At 34.4% G+C, this 18,570-nt stretch overlaps 1 protein-coding gene across 6 annotated transcripts in view; it reads left to right on the plus strand.

Annotated features, from left to right (window-relative positions):
* The window catches only part of HOOK1 (hook microtubule tethering protein 1), a 61,374-nt gene extending 45,685 nt beyond the window's left edge, over nt 1-15,689 (plus strand). For 3 of the 6 annotated variants that reach the window (NM_015888.6, XM_047422225.1, XM_024447520.2), the window contains exons 16-22: nt 2,151-2,244; nt 3,999-4,033; nt 4,530-4,612; nt 5,239-5,339; nt 7,617-7,718; nt 10,409-10,477; nt 12,162-15,689. In NM_015888.6, the coding sequence (NP_056972.1) occupies nt 2,151-2,244; nt 3,999-4,033; nt 4,530-4,612; nt 5,239-5,339; nt 7,617-7,718; nt 10,409-10,477; nt 12,162-12,332 (655 nt within the window). In that variant the 3' untranslated portion in view covers nt 12,333-15,689. Of the gene's footprint in view, nt 1-2,150; nt 2,245-3,191; nt 3,236-3,998; nt 4,035-4,529; nt 4,613-5,238; nt 5,340-7,616; nt 7,719-10,408; nt 10,478-12,161 lie in introns of those variants that run through there. The other 3 variants (XM_047422230.1, XM_047422232.1, XM_006710676.2) reach the window with 3 other exon arrangements.
* The last annotated feature ends 2,881 nt before the right edge of the window (nt 15,690-18,570 follow it).

Consider the following 18,570-nt stretch of genomic DNA (forward strand, 5'->3'; position numbering starts at 1 on the left):
GAGTACAGTGGCGTGATCTTTGCTCATTGTAGCTTCCACCTTCCCAGTTCAAGTGATTCTCATGCCTCGGCCTCCTGAATAGCTGCAATTAGAGACATGCACCACCATGCTTGGATAGTTTTTGTATTTGTTTTCTTCTCTTTCTTTTTTTTTTTTTTGAGACGGAGTCTTGCTCTGTCACCCAGGCTAGAGTGCAGTAGCGCGATCTCGGCTCACTGCAACTTCCGCCTCACGGGTTCAAGCGATTCTCCTGCCTCACCCTCCCAAGTAGATGGGACTATAGGCACACGCCACTACGCCTGGCTAATTTTTTTTTGTATTTTTAGTAGAGATGGGGTTTCACCATGTTGACCAGGCTCGTCTCAATCTCCTGACCTCATGATCCACCCACCCTGGCCTCCCAAAGTGCTGGGATTACAGGCGTGAGCCACCATGCCTGGCCAATTTTTGTATTATTAGTAGAGATGGGGCTTCACCATGTTGGCTGGGCTGGTCTCGAACTCCTGACCTCATGTAATCCACCTGCCTCAGCCTTCCAAAGTTGCTGGGATTACAAACATGAGCCACTGTGTCTGGCCCACCAGGCTACTTATTCTTGAATTTCATTTAGATATGTTCACAATTCAGAAAGTTTGACAAATGAATAAATGACAGTTTGGCTTTCTACTGAAGTCTAGTGCATAGATAAGATCTAGATTGTGGAATCAAATTTAAATCCCACTTCTAATTTAACTTATTAACTGTTTCTGGACAAGTTACTTAAACTTACACTCAGTGTCTTCAGGTGTAAATACAAGTTGTTAGGAAGACTGCAGATAATGAGCTTAAAGCAAATGATGTGCTTATGTGGTATCAATGAAGTGCTCAAAACTTATTATATGCTTTTCTAAGTACTTTTTTGCTATTAACTCAGTAAATCCTCATAATAACTCTATGAAATAGTAACCATGTAGTAACCAATAGCTCTTTTTCTATGGATAAGGAATATGGATACAGAGAAGTTAAATAACATACCTAAAGTTATACACCTAGTAGTTCTGGATCCTCCATAATGAACTCTCTGTCAATCTGATTACTGAGTCTTTACTCCTAACTACTATGGTAACTTCCCTGTTATAAATGGTGTACTTACTATAAGGGTATTTGGATTTATTTAACCTTTATTGAATCCTAGACACCAACAGAAATTTTAGACATACTTGAATCTTACCTTTCTCAAACTTGTGTGTATAAGGTTACATAAACGGTGGTTAAAAGAAGAATAACAATTTAGTTTTCTAAAGAGACCATTAAATATTACTATTTTATTCAGTTCAATACCAGTTGTTAGCACTTTTCTGAAGAGACCATTAAATATTATCATCTTACTCAGTTCAATACCAGTTGTTAACACTTTTCTGAAGAGACCATTACATATTACTATCTTATTCAGTTCAATACAAGTTGTTAGCACTGGGGAAATCATTTAAGCTTTTAAGGAATTAACATAGGAAAGCAGACATGTAAATAGATAATTGCTATATTATGTGATAACTGCAACAGTGGAATATTATAGCAGGCAGGTGAGTGTGTATGTGTGGATACACATAGAGGGAGAGGGAGATACTAACTCTTGCTAGTAACTTCCAGTGGAAGTAACTCTTAAGCACAGTTTTAAAGAATGAGATTTTGCCACATTAGAATCTGAGTTAGTTGCTAGTGGCACTCCCTTTAATTTAAATTTAAAAAAACTTGTGGAAATGATTGGAAAATGGTGACCTTCCTCTTCCAATACGCTGTGAAATCTGAAACAGAAGATGGAAATCTAGTTTTCATTCATTAAAAATACAACTGTAGAAAAATTGAGCTGGTTTTCTGATTTTTCTACCAGTGAGTGCGGTGTAGAAATTTTTTGCCACCGACATTTAAGTTCCTTAAAATTTTAAATGTAGGCATATATACTTTCAGGAAAAAAGTTTTCTTTTAAAAAGTATTTTCTTAGAAGTAGCCTGCCCTACTTCATATTGTACCTAGGCACAGATAATTATTCCGCATTTGTCATTGCTATAAAAATATTTTTTACTTAAATTGCTAACTGAATGTACCTTTGTAGATCCTTAACTGCTTTGACTTTCAATACAAGTAAATGCTTATGACCCATCTTACAATAGGCTGAGCAAAGAGCGTATTAGAGAATTGCAGCAGCAGATTGAGGACCTCCAGAAATCTTTACAGGAACAAGGTTCCAAGTCTGAAGGCGAAAGTGTAAGTAACTTAGAAATTATAATAATTCTGCTGTGTATGGCTTTTCTTTAATAGATCATGATGTCCAAATTAATCTTGTATTGGAAAGTACAGCCCTTATCATTGAGAATACCCTTAAATACCGTATATATCTGCATAATAGATGCAGTGATTTTGCCAACTTGGAGCCTGTCAGTTGATCATCTACATTGGAAGGTGATTTCTGTCTGTCCTGCTTCAACAGCTATACCAAAGTTCGTGATAATTCTTAATCATCATTCAACATCATTTAGCAGCTATACCAAAGTTCATGATGATTCTTGATTGAGAGCATACTACAATTGAGGCCTTCATAGTTCTGCTGGAATTCCAACAGGGCTGGCCTGAGAAAAATCCAAATGAGAGTAATTAGCAGTCAGAATTGAGGAAACCTTCTAATAGGAAAAGAGAGAATGGGAAAATGATTTCTACCTAAAGAGCATGCCAAAAATGGATTATACCCGTCTCTGAAGGACAGAAACTTTAATGCAGCCTTGGAGGCATCACTCATTTCTTTCTCCTTCCTTAATGATTCATGGCCTTACCGTTTTCTGATGGATTTTGACAGCAGCTACTGTGAGAGCAGAGATAAGAGGATTTAAAAGAGATCAAACTTAGCCAAAATCTGACTATACCTAGCAACTTTTCTACAGTTTGATCTTTTTATGTGAAGAGAAAAAGAAGTAATGATTGAGGGATTGTTGTACTTAATTAAAAATAACAAGAAAAAAGGACTAGATATGTGTTAGGGATATCTTGATTGATTGAGATTAGATAAAATGCTAGGTGATTATACCTGTGTTGATGGGGGAGGAAACTTTGCAGAGTAAAGAGATGAAAAGGAAAATTGAAAGAGTTGCATTTTCTTTCTGTCTTTTATGTGCTTTATATTATTTTCTTTTTTTTTTCCCTGGGGGCTTGGAAAATAGAAATCGTCTCATGCATGGCGGCATCTCATATGTGCATATATACGGTATTGTAACTTCTCTAATACAAATATTATTTTAAGCCATACTAGAGAATACTTTTAAAATGAGGTATTTTGCAGGGAGCACATTTTGGCTGGCAGTGTTTTAAAGATAAATGTCTTTATTATTTTAATATATTGGTATCCAACTTGTATTTCAGATTATATATTTTAAATACTTCACCTATACAATAGATGCGGAACGACTATTGCAATTTAAAGTACTGTTTTTTAAAAGAGGAAATTGTATGTTTAAAATTTTGCTTTTTAACAATATTCAGTTGCTTCATTTTGGTGTTAGTTATTAAAGTATTTACAACTATAATAAAATTTTATTATAAAGATAATTATTTTAGATCTTTAAGTTTGTTCCTCATAAGAGGCCCAAAATCTTAAAATTTTTATTCTGAATAAATGATTTTTAAAATATTTTAATGTTTGATACTCCTCAGTATATCACATTCAGCTTGCATTTGGTGTTTTTCAAGTTCAGATTTAATTTTTATTACATTCAGAAACATGAGGCATTTTTCTTTCTGTTTTTGTACCTTTTTATATTTCATTTTCTATTTTTCCTTTCCTTTTTGAAGTAAAAAAAGAACCTAAAAAGTTTATGCTTCTTAAAGTGTGTTATTGGAAATACAAATTTTAAAAATATTTATAATTTTGCCTGGTACACCTTCAAAAGGAGGTAAAGAGATTTCGATGTCTGGAAAATTGACCTTTGTCAAGATAGTCATCTTACAGCAATTTTTTTTAAATTTTATAGTCCAGCAAATTAAAGCAGAAGTTGGAAGCTCATATGTAAGTAAAACTGATATTTCTTTTCAAATATGAGAAGGGAGGGGTTGTAAAAGCCTCTAAAGTTAATCTCCTTTTCGGATTTTGTCTAGAAAAGCAAATATCCTGATGCTAATTGATACACCTGCTGCAAAAGTGAAAAGCATGCTAAAGATTCAGCCTCCCTACTACCCCCGTTCCAAACTCCTACATCTTTCCATTGTTAATATCATTTGAAAAGTTTAAAAAAACAGATTAACTATCACAACTAGATTATATGGGATGTTAAACCTATAAAATATTTTACTTTCTTAGGAAGCAAGGGTGGCAAGGGAAATAATTTAACCTTTTTGGCACCTGCCGTGTGCCTGACTGTTTACATCCTCATGACAACCCCTGCAGTCATGCAGATAGTATTCCCATTTCACAGATGAGGAACCAAGGGTCAGAAAGCAACTTGCCCAAGGTCCACAAATGTTATATGGCAGAGACCAGTCTCCATGCTTTTTCTACCACTTAGGGAAAAACTCACAGAGGTCCATGAAGAATTACAGAAGAAACAAGAACTCATTGAAGATCTTCAGCCAGATATAAATCAAAATGGTAGGTATCTGTGAAAACTTGGATCAGACAACAGTATATCTAAGGACTTACCCTTTTTTATTGAAGGATCCAAGGTCTATGTGTAAGTTTTTGCACAATGTGTAGATACATATATTGTAAATAAGGACTATGATAATTTTTAGTGCTGAAGTCATTAATAAAAGATATATTATTAAAGCAAAAAATCTAATAAAATGAATTGATGGATATATGGGAGTATCAAACATTAAAAAATAAGATTAATCTGGAAATGTGGGTAAAAATGATTTCAAATCAGATTGATATAAACTTTAAAACATTGTGTAGAAATGCTTTATTTTTCTTGTGGTTGTGCTTACTGTAAGGTATATTTGCTATTTATACTTGATAGAAAGGAGAAAAAGAACTAAATAAAGCAGATTGTAGATATTTTTAAGGGTCAAATAATAAATGATTGAGAATGTGTTGGTTGTATTTCAAAACTTTTAGATAAGAATTCACTACAAAGAATAAATAACAGGCTTTTCTTTTAAGTTATCGTCTTTAGAAAATAAATATTATAAATATAATTTTATGTGAGGATGAAGTATTTTAATAGGTAGTAAATATTAATAACTGATTATGCTTCATTTTATTTTTACTAATAGTACAAAAGATCAATGAACTTGAAGCTGCTCTTCAGAAGAAAGATGAAGATATGAAAGCAATGGAGGAAAGATATAAAATGTACTTGGAGAAAGCCAGAAATGTGAGTGACTTATCTTTCGGAGCTCAAGACTTTGTGGCCTGTGTTTTAGCAAGGCTCATTTCACTGGATTTTTCTGCCATTCTTGTATCTGTATCTAATCACTTCTCTCTTAACTGTATTGCCTTACCTGTCAGGTTTCCGTAGTATTTCCCAATCAGTTCTCATACTCTTAGTCTCACTCATCAGTGTCAGATAAAATAGGCCATAGCTAATAGGGACTGTTTAGACAGACTGTCGTGATGTCAGAGAGAGTGATGGCTATAATGTATGGAATCTTTAGTTCTTGGCAAAATAAGCCCAGAATTCTTATTTGCTAGAATCTTTGCAAATTTTCTAAGAATACAATTTTTCTAGAAACAGCAAAATGGATATTTTATCTTTTGTAAAAGTTTAGCTTTTTAAATGTATTTGAAATTGTTGTAGCATTTAGTTTGAGATTAGATAGTTAAACGCTTTTCAAATGTTCATCACACTCAAGGTTTAAAAAGGTAGAGGTTTACTTCATAGTCACATTGAGTCCAATCATAAATGGGGAAGGGGCACTTCTCCATGTAGTCATTCAGAGTCCTAAGCTGACAGAGGCTCTGCCTTCTTCAGCATAGGGATCCCAGGTTCACTTGACCTTGTCCAACTAGGTCAAATGAAGAAAGACAGCCTAGATTGCATAGGAGATATGTAATGGGCGAGGCCTGAAAACAGCATAAATCACTTTCACTCCCACTTTGGAGCGCAGGCATGTGACCACACTACATTTATGGAACAGACTTTGCAAAAGTAAAATAATGCCTACATAATACTTAGTTGTGTGGGATATAACAGAGTTTACTTAAGCATTATCCTACTATTGGAAATAATCTGTATTCATTTCCTTTTCCTTTTTTGCTCCTATAAATAAGACTATAGTCAACATAATTATACAGAAAGCTTTCTCTTTATTTTGGTTTATTATCTTAACCTTATTTCCTAGAAATGGAAGTATTGGGTCATAGGATAAGACCATAAGATGCCTGATATGTATTTCTAAATGACATTTTAAGAGGACTATAACTAATTGAACAAAACCATGACAATGAATACCACATTTTTGCCACCATTGATTAATATCATTTAAAAGACAGTTGCTTGCTTTCATAAATATGATTTTTTTTCCCATTACCTTATTTGGGGCAAGAGGTTTAAATAATGGTTAAGATACTGGCTAAAGTAATAACATGTCCTTGTAGAAAATTCAGAAAATATACAAATCACAACCATTTATCACTTAGAGATAATAAACTATGATTTGCTCTTTGTAATTAAATTGATATAAATTATTCAATGTATTCTGCTTTTATGGTGTGCATTCCATGAGGGTAGGCACCATGTCTCCAATAAATTGCTGAATCCTCATCTGCCAGTATCTACCACACAGTTGTCACTCAATAAATGATTTTTGGATGAATGAAGGAGCCACAATAGTATTTTGGTATTTTACCATCCAGTCTTCTTCTTTTTCCTCTATAAATGTAGATGAAGTTTTCCTAACTCATTAAATAATTTTAAATATTTTTAATAGTTTTATAATTACATCATGCAGATGTCCCTGTTTGAAATTTATGGTTTTTGCTTGAAATATATTCTTGACATTTCTGAATTGGTTTTCTAACAGATTGCTATCTCCATAGTTTAGCTGAATCTCTTTACTACATTCTGGTCAAACATATCTTTTTACTCAATTTTTAGTAATAACATAAATGCGATTCAGCACCCTACCTTTTGCAAATAAAATCACCAGCATTTATTATATTGATCTTATATATTGAATTACACTTGACTGGATAATAATAGTAAAAAAGATTATTGCTAAGAATTTCTTCTGTGTGTTGTTCTTACTTTATAAAATCAATGTTTCCTTAGAGTTATTGAATTCATTTTGATTTTTTTAAAAATTCTCAAGTCAAATAAATACAGAAAGGATTATTTCAAGACTTTAATGCCTAAAGTTTGAGTATTGAAAAGGCTAAATAACTATTTCCATGTACTGAGCCTTGGAGAAGGGAAATTTGTTTTTGGAATGGGGACATTTATATTTTTGTACTGAATTTTTGTACTGTTTCTTGTATATAGAATGAGTTATTTTTGTTATCCCAATTAGGATTGTAAAACAAGCTACAGTTAGCTCTTGGATGACTTTGTGGATTATTTTCCACCTTACTTACACAGTTTTTGTAAGATATGTTCTATATGTTTTAATACTTTAAAATATAAAGTGAACATAGTATTTTTTTCTTTAAACAGGTAATAAAAACTTTGGATCCCAAGTTAAATCCAGCATCAGCTGAAATAATGCTACTAAGAAAGCAGTTGGCAGAGAAAGAGAGAAGAATTGAGATTCTGGAGGTAAAACTTTTATATTTACTCATCTTTTAGTTATTTTGTAGAATCCTGGTAATTAACTGCTGTCATATATTTGTCATTAATGATCAAGTTTTACAAGAAGTTAAAAATGTCATGTTTTAGCACCCAGTGTGTTTATTACAAAGCATCTCACTGGCCGCCCAATAGATGCTCTGTGTGTAGCTCATATACCCTGTTTATATGCAGCGTTGTAGTTGTAGCTCTTCTTGTCAATAACAGGCATTATATGGCTATCCCTGACTTTCTAATAGAGACCTGCTATAATGTTTCTTTTAAAATTATGCAAATATGATTTCATCTGGGGGATATAAACCTGACCTTTACCGTTTAAAAAAGATACTGTGTTGATTCAGTCAATCACATTTTTCTTGTCTTCAGCCGTTTCTCACCTGAACCTAAACAAACTTATTAATAGTGGAATTTCTGGGAGAAGGAAGTACTCACAGAATTCCAGTGAACTCCTGAACTAAAGTGGAATTCTTAGTTATTAATCATGCAAAATTATATTAGTAATGGCATGCTCTCATCAATTAGCTGAGTCTTTAAATTTTAAAGATATTTTTGTGTTAGTGGTTATATTATTTTTATGAGCCTTAGGTAAGTATGTCACTATGGAATTCTGTATTCTTAGATTTATAATTGAGCACGTTCTGGTTTCCTTTGCAAAGTGTTTTACAAAGCTACTGTATTTAATACTGTAGTGAGATTTGATGCTATTCTTGAAGTAAATATATACTTCCTTTTAATAACATATGCATAATTGCAGAGCCATATTGAATTCTACATACTGGCCTTGAAATTCTCATAAATGGTACTCAGTTTCTTTTTTTTTTTTCTTTTGATATGGAGTCTTGCTCTGTCGCCCAGGCTGGGTTGCAGTGGCGTAATCTCAGCTCACTGCAACCTCCGCCTCCCAGGTTCAAGCAATTCTCTTGCCTCAGCCTCCCTAGTAGCTGGGATTACAGGTGCATGCCACCACGCCCAACTAATTTTTGTATTTTTTGTAGAGATAGGGTTTTGCCACGTTGGCCAGGCTGGTCTGGAACTCCTCACCTCAAGTGATCTGCTCTCCTCAGCCTTCCAAAGTGCTGGGATTACAGACGTGAGCCACCGCACCTAGCTGTATTCAGTTTCTTTTTAAATCATCTAGGAATGTTATATTTCAAAGAAATGCACTCTATTTATGTGCCTTTTTCTTGGTATTTGAGCAAGTAGGTATGAACTGTGGTAGAAATATTTTTATTTAAAGACTTAAAGACTTTAACACCCCCTCCTCCCTACATCCATAGTACAACACCATTCTTCCTACATCCATAGTACGACACCAACCCGATACGCCCTTGCTATCAGTGCTTGTCCAGGCTATGTTGTGTGTTCTCAAAAGCACTGGGTAGGGAGATTTGTCTGAAGAAATGCTATTCTTGAAATTCTAAGTCAAATATCTCTTTATTAAACTTTCCCTGTATTCCTTAGGGGAGGTTTAATACTGTCTCACTCTCCACACTGAGTCCATGTACTTCAAACTCATGAATTTATTCCACAACAGCATTGGTTTTCTTTTTGGTACATGTGGACGTGTCTTGAGGGCAAAGCCTATCTTTTATCTCTGTACCCCTAACATTAAATATTACATAAATCAGAGGCCAGGGTTGCAGCATTATTAGTAACTTCTTGTCTTAAAATAGTTACTTCTCCTCTCTGGCTCACCATCTTCTCATCTATAAAATGGTGAGACTGGGATTGGATAATCGCTGACATCTAAGTTGCTCTGTTTATGTCCCAGTGAAAGTCAGTGAAAATATACACCATCATTGATGTTTGAAATGTACATCCCCAACAGATATGATGAGAAAATAGTCCCTGTAACTATAAGACTCTGAGGAAAAGCTTAGGTTAAGTCACAGCACATGGGCATTTAATTTGTGCGTATTCATCTAGACACACACTGCAAAAAGTAAAAAGGAGAAATGTAATGTAAATAGCAGGGGCTGTTCTATCTGCCATCCCTCTGGGAATTCTGTGCCTGGAGTGAATGTGAGTCTGAAGAAGGGCATCACCTCTCTTTTGGGCTTGGTTCTTATATACTTTTTGTATCATGAACATCCTATGTATCAAGATAATAGTACTTATATAAACCAAACTATATCTGGTACTCAAGAAAAGTATGTCAGTCTCTGTGATGGCACATAAATACGGCTATGGAATCTAGTACACAGACCACCAACAATTAAGAGAGAAAAATTTGTATTAAACTTTATAGGCAACTTAAAAAGATTTTTCCAGTTATTTTTGACTATGTCCTCTTTCTCCTTAGTTTTGACCCCTCCACGGGTGCAGCTCTGTTTCGTTTACCTAAGCCACTCGTTACTTTTTTCTCTAGATATGGTGGGCAGTAGCCTTAAAATCACTAGTTGTGTATATGTATGTTTAAATCATTCTCTTCTACCTGTAAATTTCTTGAAATAAAGGTTTATTAGTCACAAACCTTATTCTTTCCTAAAGGTGTTGGGCATGCATTTGTGCTTGATTCAGTTTACATTTGACTACATTGTGTGCCTCACAAGTGCAATCTTTAGATTCTCTCAATAATGAACATAGTGAAGAAATTATTCTATCTTTAGTAATTTGGGGTAATTTCTGGGATTTTAATTGTTCTCATATCTTTTTTCCAGAGTGAATGCAAAGTAGCAAAATTCCGTGATTATGAAGAAAAACTCATTGTTTCTGCGTGGTATAATAAGGTGAGCTGAAGTTCAGCAAATGATTGGATGAGAACGGTGTTTAAGCAAACTTTTTTTTGACCAAGTACAACATAAGAAAATATATTTTATCTTATACCATAAACCAAGACATAGCATGTTTATGTATATGACTGAAACAAAAGTTACCCTGTGTATTGCACTCAGATATTTTGTCATATTCTCCTTTAATGTTGATTCTAATCCACTAACTTGATATTGTGACTCATCAGCCTTTAGCTGATACGTATTGAAGCACAGGTGTAATAATTCATAAACCTTTTTAAAATTGCCTTATTTGAGCTGAAACACTCAATTTTTGCCCATAAAAGGTTTCTGAAGAAATATGAAGATCTGTGTAATGCAAAATTAAATGCTTCTAGTTACTCAGTATTTATTTTAACATCCTCTAAAGCCTCAGTGTGTCCTTTACTGTATTTATTACTTTATTTTTTTTATCCAGGGGTTACTCTTCCTATTTGTCTCTTTGTACTACCAAGGAGAAAATAGCATAGTTTGAAATGTGTTTTATTTTGTCATTGGTAGTATCAGTAGGATATTTTCAAGAGTAGCATTTCATGATGTATATGGTTCTTTTGCATTATTCTAGTCAGCCAGAATAGGCTATTATCTACTTTTATCTCTTATTTATACAAAGGCATATCACTTTATAAACTTCCCATGTGTGAATGCTGTGCTCCACCAGAAAGCACTAGTTATTCTTCCTGAAACATGGCTCATGCTTTCATGACACCATGCTTTTCATCTGAGCTCTTTCCTTTCTTCTGTTGGGTAAAATATTGCTTAAAGGGCCCTGAAGGAAATTATGTGTGAGGTATTCTCAGAACTTTCTCTCATGAGTCAGTCATCCTAGTTGAGATCAGTGACTGTGTATTATTTATTTGTTCTTCCATGACCTCTTGATACATAAATCAGTGAAGATATTGTAGCCAGGTAGTCCATGATTGATTCATTTTTTTCAGCCTATATTTGTTGAGCATCTAATATCCATGTACTGTACTAGTTACTAGTGATGCTAAGTTCAGTAAAATTGTGTTATGTGGTCTAGTGGGAGAGTAATGACTTCCCTTATAAGAAACTCAACAGCCAAAATATGGTAATTTATCAGGTATCAATATTGAGATAGACTATAGTAAATTTAATCTATACTGGTGGTTCTTAAACATTAACTTGCCTCAGAAGACTTGTTAAAACACAAATTGCTAGACGCACTGGCAGAACTTCTGATTCAGTAGGTCTGGGTAAGGCCCCTAAATTTGTATTTTTAACAAATTCCCAGGGATGCTAATCTTGTTAATCCGGGGACCACCCTTCAAGAACCTTTGATCTAAGCCATTCTGTTGTGACATGTCTGCTCATAGGTGGTACGGTGATGGCCCAAACACAAAAATTTTTATAATTAAGTCTAATTCCAGGCCATTCTTTTAAGTTACTGTTTTAAATAATTTTAAATTTAGTGATTAAATAGAGAAAATGGATTTTGTGCCTTCTTACTAGCATTACCATTTCATAGATTAATCAGCTTCTGAACCCTTATTTTCTATAAAAATGAGGAAAGCCTTAGCTTTATAGGTTGGTTTTAAGGATTAAGTGTCTTTATGTGAGAAGCACTCGGCAAACTCTGTTTAGTCATGTTAAATAAAAAATATATGTTTTTTTTTTTCAGAGTCTAGCATTCCAGAAACTGGGGATGGAATCTAGACTTGTGAGCGGCGGTGGTGCCTGCAGTGACACTGGTGCGTGCACTCCTGCGCGGTCTTTCTTAGCGCAGCAACGGCACATCACCAACACCAGAAGAAATCTCTCTGTTAAAGTCCCTGCTACAACATCTGATTAAACTGCAAAAAAAACAAAACAAAACAAAAAAACCACATAAAATAGAAGTGTCCTTAAAATATTTTGTACCTTTCAACTAACTACCAGATTGAAAAAGAGTTTATGATGCGGGATATCAGGTATTTTAAAATCAACATGCATCAAATTAATTTTGCCAGTTGACTTTAAAAACAAATTATAGAATTAGCCATCTCTCTGAGGGAGCACATTTGAATAATTGGAGATGCAGTTATACACACATTTCAAACAAACATTTGTCTTTTGAGAGTATTATAATTTCAAATTGGCCTTGTATATTTTAGTTAAATGTTTTCAGTTGTATTAGTAACTTAATTAATTTTCAATAGCTATTCAGTAATACTTAATCTTAGAACATTAATTGGATTTGTTTAATCTTTTTTTGTTTTTTGTTGATTTATATGAAAACAGTCTTGAGGCAGGGACATGGAGAACTATGCAAGGGTGATTTCTTTGACTTAATATATACAAGGCTTTACTTCTGTCCCCTAATTCTTCCATTGAATGTGTACCTCTACCTTGTCATGTCATGGAAGATACAACATTTGGAAGATCTGACAATTGGAATGACTTTGGAATAATAAAATTGACTAATTGGAAATTTTGCATATTCTGAAAATCTAATCTCATAGTTCTAATTTGTACCTATGGCAAATAAGGGCTTCTGGACATCATGTTTAAAATGTTAAGCATAAGAAATAAACTGACATTTGTAATAGGTGACTTTCTGATGGAAAGCAAGCTATATATATATATATATATATATATATATATATATATATACTTTTTGTGAAATGTCTATATACTTTTTAAGGTAATTAATGAAGATTTCAGTTATTGCTTTTAAGCATAAAGTTGTATTTAGCTTCTGCTGAAAAATTGTATCATATAATAATTTTGCTTCATTGAAAAGGGATGTTGCAGTGATGAAACAAGGTGGGATCAGTTTGATTTTGTTTACTTATTAAGGAGTTTATCTTGGGCTCAGTTTGTGGTATTCAGTTCGTTTCTGCCCAAAGCTCTTATTTTCAGAGGTGTTACTTTTGAACTTTTGGGGTCATTTTTAAAAGTTAGCACTTTTGAATTTTAGTTGTGTTAAATATGTGCTGTCGTATATCATAGCCATGAGCCATATATGACAATTTAAATTTAATTAATTATAAACTCAGTCTCTTGGTTGCACCAGCCACATTTCAGATGCTCAATAGCCACATGTGGCTAGTGGGTACCATATTGGACAGGGCAGCTATAGAATATTTCCATCATTGCAGAAAGTTCTATTGGATAGTACCATAATCTTTTTATAGTAACTTGGAAATACTATTTGATATTAGATGTTAGACCACAAAAAGAAGAAAAATGTTAGGACTATTTCAGATATAAAAAGGAACTGAATTGTGACATAATTAGCATCTTACATTCCATACAGTTGAATACCTTATGCTGTGACAACCATAGTTAATCATTTCAGTGCTGTTCAACATACATACCTATCAGCAGTGTGTTTAGACCAGGGGTCTGCAAACTTTCTGTGAATGGACAAAGAGTAAATACTTTAGTAAATGTCTTAGGCTTTGTGGCCTACATGATCTTTGTTGCAAGTACTCAACTCTGCCATTATAGAGTTAAAGCAGCCATACACAATATATAAACAAAATGGGCATAGTTGTATTTCAGTAAAACTTTATTTACAAAGACAGGCGGTAGGCCAGATTTGGCTTGCATGCTGTAGAGCTGTGGTCTAAATTTTATTCATAGACTTTCTTTGCAAATACAGTGTGAGTATTGTTCCATTTACAGTATTATTATTTTTTAGATACCTGGTTTTTAGATTCTTGCCTGGTAACTTTTTACTGAAAATACAAGAATTTCGTACTGCATTTGCATCTCCGAGATTAGGGAGCACCTGTCAGGATATGTTGTTCTATCAGGGTTACTTCTGTTGACTACCTCTTAGATTTTGATACAGTTATATTGTTGAGTTTCATTTTCATATATTCTTGTAGTGTCTGCTTGCCTGTGACTTCTGGTAAAATAAAATAAGCCTTTGAAAATATTTTAGCATGGTATTTAACATTTTCTAAATATTATGGCATTTTGACATATTTTAGTCAGCGAAGACATCTGCCCCTTTGGTGTTTCTACTTGCTTATGATTGAGATTTTACAAGCCCTTCAAACTCCGTTTTAAAGGAATTTATTGTAAAACATTAACTTTAATAAATTAGTGTTTTCACAGATCAGATCATTATACTTGGAACTTCTAAATCATGCAATTTCTGAATAAGGACATAAGGCTAGATTCATTTTTCTTAATAGAGAAAAAGGAAATTTCTGATTTATCACTTTTCTAGTTGATAAGTAGGATTCAAAACGTTTGATATGTAAGTATTTATATAAGACTAATGTAATTTAAAGTTCTGTATTATTGTGATTAATCATACAGAAATTCAGGAACTGATCAGAAGTGAGATTCTTTTCCACATCTGGTTAATGTAGTGAGTTGACACCCTGTGGGTGGTAAAGCATTATAAACATTTCATCTTGAACCATGATTTATACACATCTGTGTTATAAGGGAGGCTTGAGTACATATACCAATGAAGAGATATTCAGCATTTGTCTATTTGATAAGGAATTAAATGTCCTAGTGATTATAAAGTAAAACCACAGACCAATTTGCAAATGATCTTCAATGTTAAGCACTTGCTCTAAGATTAAAATTCCTTTTCTTTTTAAGGTTAAGGGTGTGTACGTATGGCAGTGATGTCTATGTTGAGATTAACTTATGTATTGAGGAAAATTTGAAGTTTATTTTTTCGATGAATAAGGCTGTCAAATGATTTAGTATAGATTAATGACATCTTTTTTAGAAATATTAAAGTGAGTATTCCTCATTATGTCATCATTTCTGATAATTAGAGTGCTAATTTGAATGTTAGATAATGTTTCCACATCTATACCTATTTCTTTCTAGGGCACTTCTGACCCTGGGGCTTGGGGATGGCCTTTAGGCCACAGTAGTGTCTGTGTTAAGTTCACTAAATGTGTATTTAATGAGAAACATTCCTATGTAAAAATGTGTGTATGTGAACGTATGCATACATTTTTATTGTGCACCTGTACATTGTGAAGAAGTAGTTTGGAAATTTGTAAAGCACAAACCATAAAAGAGTGTGGAGTTATTAAATGATGTAGCACAAATGTAATGTTTAGCTTATAAAAGGTCCTTTCTATTTTCTATGGCAAAGACTTTGACACTTGAAAAATAAAACCAATATTTGATTTATTTTTGTAAGTATTTAGGATATTATTTTAAATAAATGATTGTCCATTATCAATATAATAGTTGTGAAATGATTTAAGTAAATAAACTTTATGCTTCTGTGTCTGTTGATTTTGATGGGTTTTTAGTGGGCATAAATGCATGTTTATTTGCTGCATTAAATAGAGGAGTGAAAATATGTAGGTTTGTAAAGAAAAAGTAATTGCATTCTTCTAATTTTGTTTTTCCTTTTAATTTTTTGGGGAATGAAAAGATATATTAAATGATTTGGGAATATGTCTTTTTATGTCTCCATTTTCACCTCTGGAACCTAGACATCTTGCATTAACACGGAATCAAAACATTTCTGGGGCCGGGCGTGGTGGCTATGCCTGTAATTCCAGCACTTTGGGAGGCCGAGGCAGGCAGGTCACTTGAGGTCAGGAGTTTGAGAACAGCCTTGCCAACACGGCAAAACCCCGTCTCTACTAAAAATACAAAAATTAGCCAGGTGCAGTGGCAGGCGCCTGTAGTCCCAGCTACTTGGGAGGCGGAGGCACAAGAGTCGCCTGAACCGGGAGGCAGAGGTTGCAGTGAGCTGAGATTGTGCCACTGCACTCCAGCCTGGGTGATAGAGTAAGACTCTGTCTCAAAAAAAACAAGACATTCCTGGGTAATATAATTTTAGAGACTGCTATTTATCCCTGAATATCCATTCTACCCCTCTTAACTTTAGTGATGGAATCCCATATTTTAGCTTGTTACATTATTATCCAGGAAAAAAAGAGAAAACCAAAACTGTGCTTCCCAGATTCCAATATAACTAGGTGGGGTACAGCTTTGTTCTAGATATCTAGCTTGAATGTACGCAATTCACATTCTTCTGAAGTTCCAGGGGATATGGAACTTTCAAGCTTCTCTCATTGTCTTTGGCTTTTGACAGCTTGACTATCAAAAAGATGATGAGTTGTGGATCTAGGTGTTGACTTCTTCAAATTTATTCTATTTGCAGTTTGTTGAGTTTGGATCTGCAGACTAATGCTTTTCATTAAACTTGGGAAATTTTTGACTATTATTTCTTGAAACATACTTTCTTCCTCTTTCTATCCTTTTCTCTGGTACTCTCATTATGCACCCGTTTTTACTTGGTGTCCCACATGTCTCCAAGGCTCTGCCCATTTTTCTTCATTCTCTCTTGATTCTGCTCCTCAGAATAGATCATCTCATTGATTTATCTTCAAGTGTATTGGTTCTTCCTCTGCCAGCTCAAATGTGCTGCTGAGTTCCTCTAGTGAATTTTTTGTTTCAGTTATTGTACTTTTCAAATCTAGAATTTCTAGTTAGTTGCTGTTTTCTATTTCTGACTCCTTATTGTGATTTTCTGTTCAGTGGAAAATCATTTTCATATTTAACTTAATTCTTTATCCAATAATTAATTCTTAGGCTCATAGAACATACTTAAAGCTTTTGTCTAGTAAATCCAATGCCTGGGCTTCTTCAGGGACTGTTTCCAGTAACTTCTTTTTATCCTGTCTATGAGCCATTGTTTTCTGTTTCTTCACATGATTCATAATTTTTTATTGGAAATTTGGCATTATAAGTAATATGTGGAAACTCTGGAAATCAGACCCCGCCCCACAGTGTATTATTGTTACTGTTATTGCCTTTTGTTTAGAGACTTGAACTAATTCTGTAAAAATTCCATTCTTCATCATGTGCAGCCACTGAATTCTGTGCTTTTTAAGCAAAGTATCCAGCTAATTTTGGACAGCGATTTCCTTGAATGTTTTGAAATAAGTCTCTCAGCCTTTCCCAAAGGGCTCTGCGTGTGTTTTGCATTATACCTTCAACACTCCAGCAGGTAGTTTACAGTTCTATTGTAACCTTAGTTTCTTGCTTACACAGACCCTCACAGTCAGCCAGAGATGAGAGATTCGAGTCTTTCCAGGTCTTTGCCTGGGTATGCATGTAGCCCTCACATGTGCATGGTCTTCTAGATTCCTAGGCATATGTTAGAGTGTTAGAAGCCCCGGTGGGCATCTCTATTTCCAGTTTATCCTTTTAATCCTCTGTTTTAATTCCAACTTGTATTGCTACCTTGGGTTACTGTAATGTTGCACAATTGTCACTGATTTTTTTTTTTTAACAAATGTCCTGTAGTGTGGTTTGCACAGAATCAGCGTTTAGTAAGGTAAAACAAAGACAAGTTCTGAGAATGGGGCTTTTCAGGGAACTGCCAGAGAGGTCATATAATGACAACTTTCTGGGAATGGGGCCTTTGGGGTGCTCCAAACCCATTCTGCTCCCTCCAGTGGCTGCTTGATCACGGGTATTCACAGCTACCATAATTGTGAGACTGTTGCTTTTAAGGATACTTGAGAGCTGGGGAGAGGAGAACCGGCATAGGGCAAGTTAAAACAGAGCTCCCTGTTTTTACTGAGAGCAGCTCTTCTTTTTTTAAACAAATGCTCAGGTTGTTTTGAGACTTTAATTTTCAGCATTCTGAAAATGTTGATTTTGATTATTTTTGCTCACGTTCTCAGTGCTTTTATGGAATGGATTTTTGGAGCTCCTTAAGTTACCATTTCAGAAGTTCTCGCCACAAGTCAGATTTTTGAAAGTAGGAGTGACCTCAGTAACCAGTATTTAAAGCCCACCTTTTCCAGAATGTGAAATTAAGAAATATAGAGGTTCATGGCTTGCTGCATGGCTACGGAAAATTTATGGCACACTGCAGCATTAATGTCACTTGGCTGCTTGCTCTCCCCTACCCCTCACCTCCACTGTGTGTCCAACAAACATTTCCTGAGCATCTGCTATGCATGAAACAGGTACTGAATGTGTGTGAACAAGACACAGTCACCTCTGAAAAGCTCATTTTAATTGGGAGATTATATGGAAATAGGAAATAAAACCTTTTAAATTAAATTCTCAGGGAATGGAGGAAGGAGCAACTA

The sequence above is a fragment of the Homo sapiens genome, chromosome 1 (genome assembly GCF_000001405.40).
Source record: "Homo sapiens chromosome 1, GRCh38.p14 Primary Assembly".
NCBI classification, from domain to species: domain Eukaryota; kingdom Metazoa; phylum Chordata; class Mammalia; order Primates; family Hominidae; genus Homo; species Homo sapiens.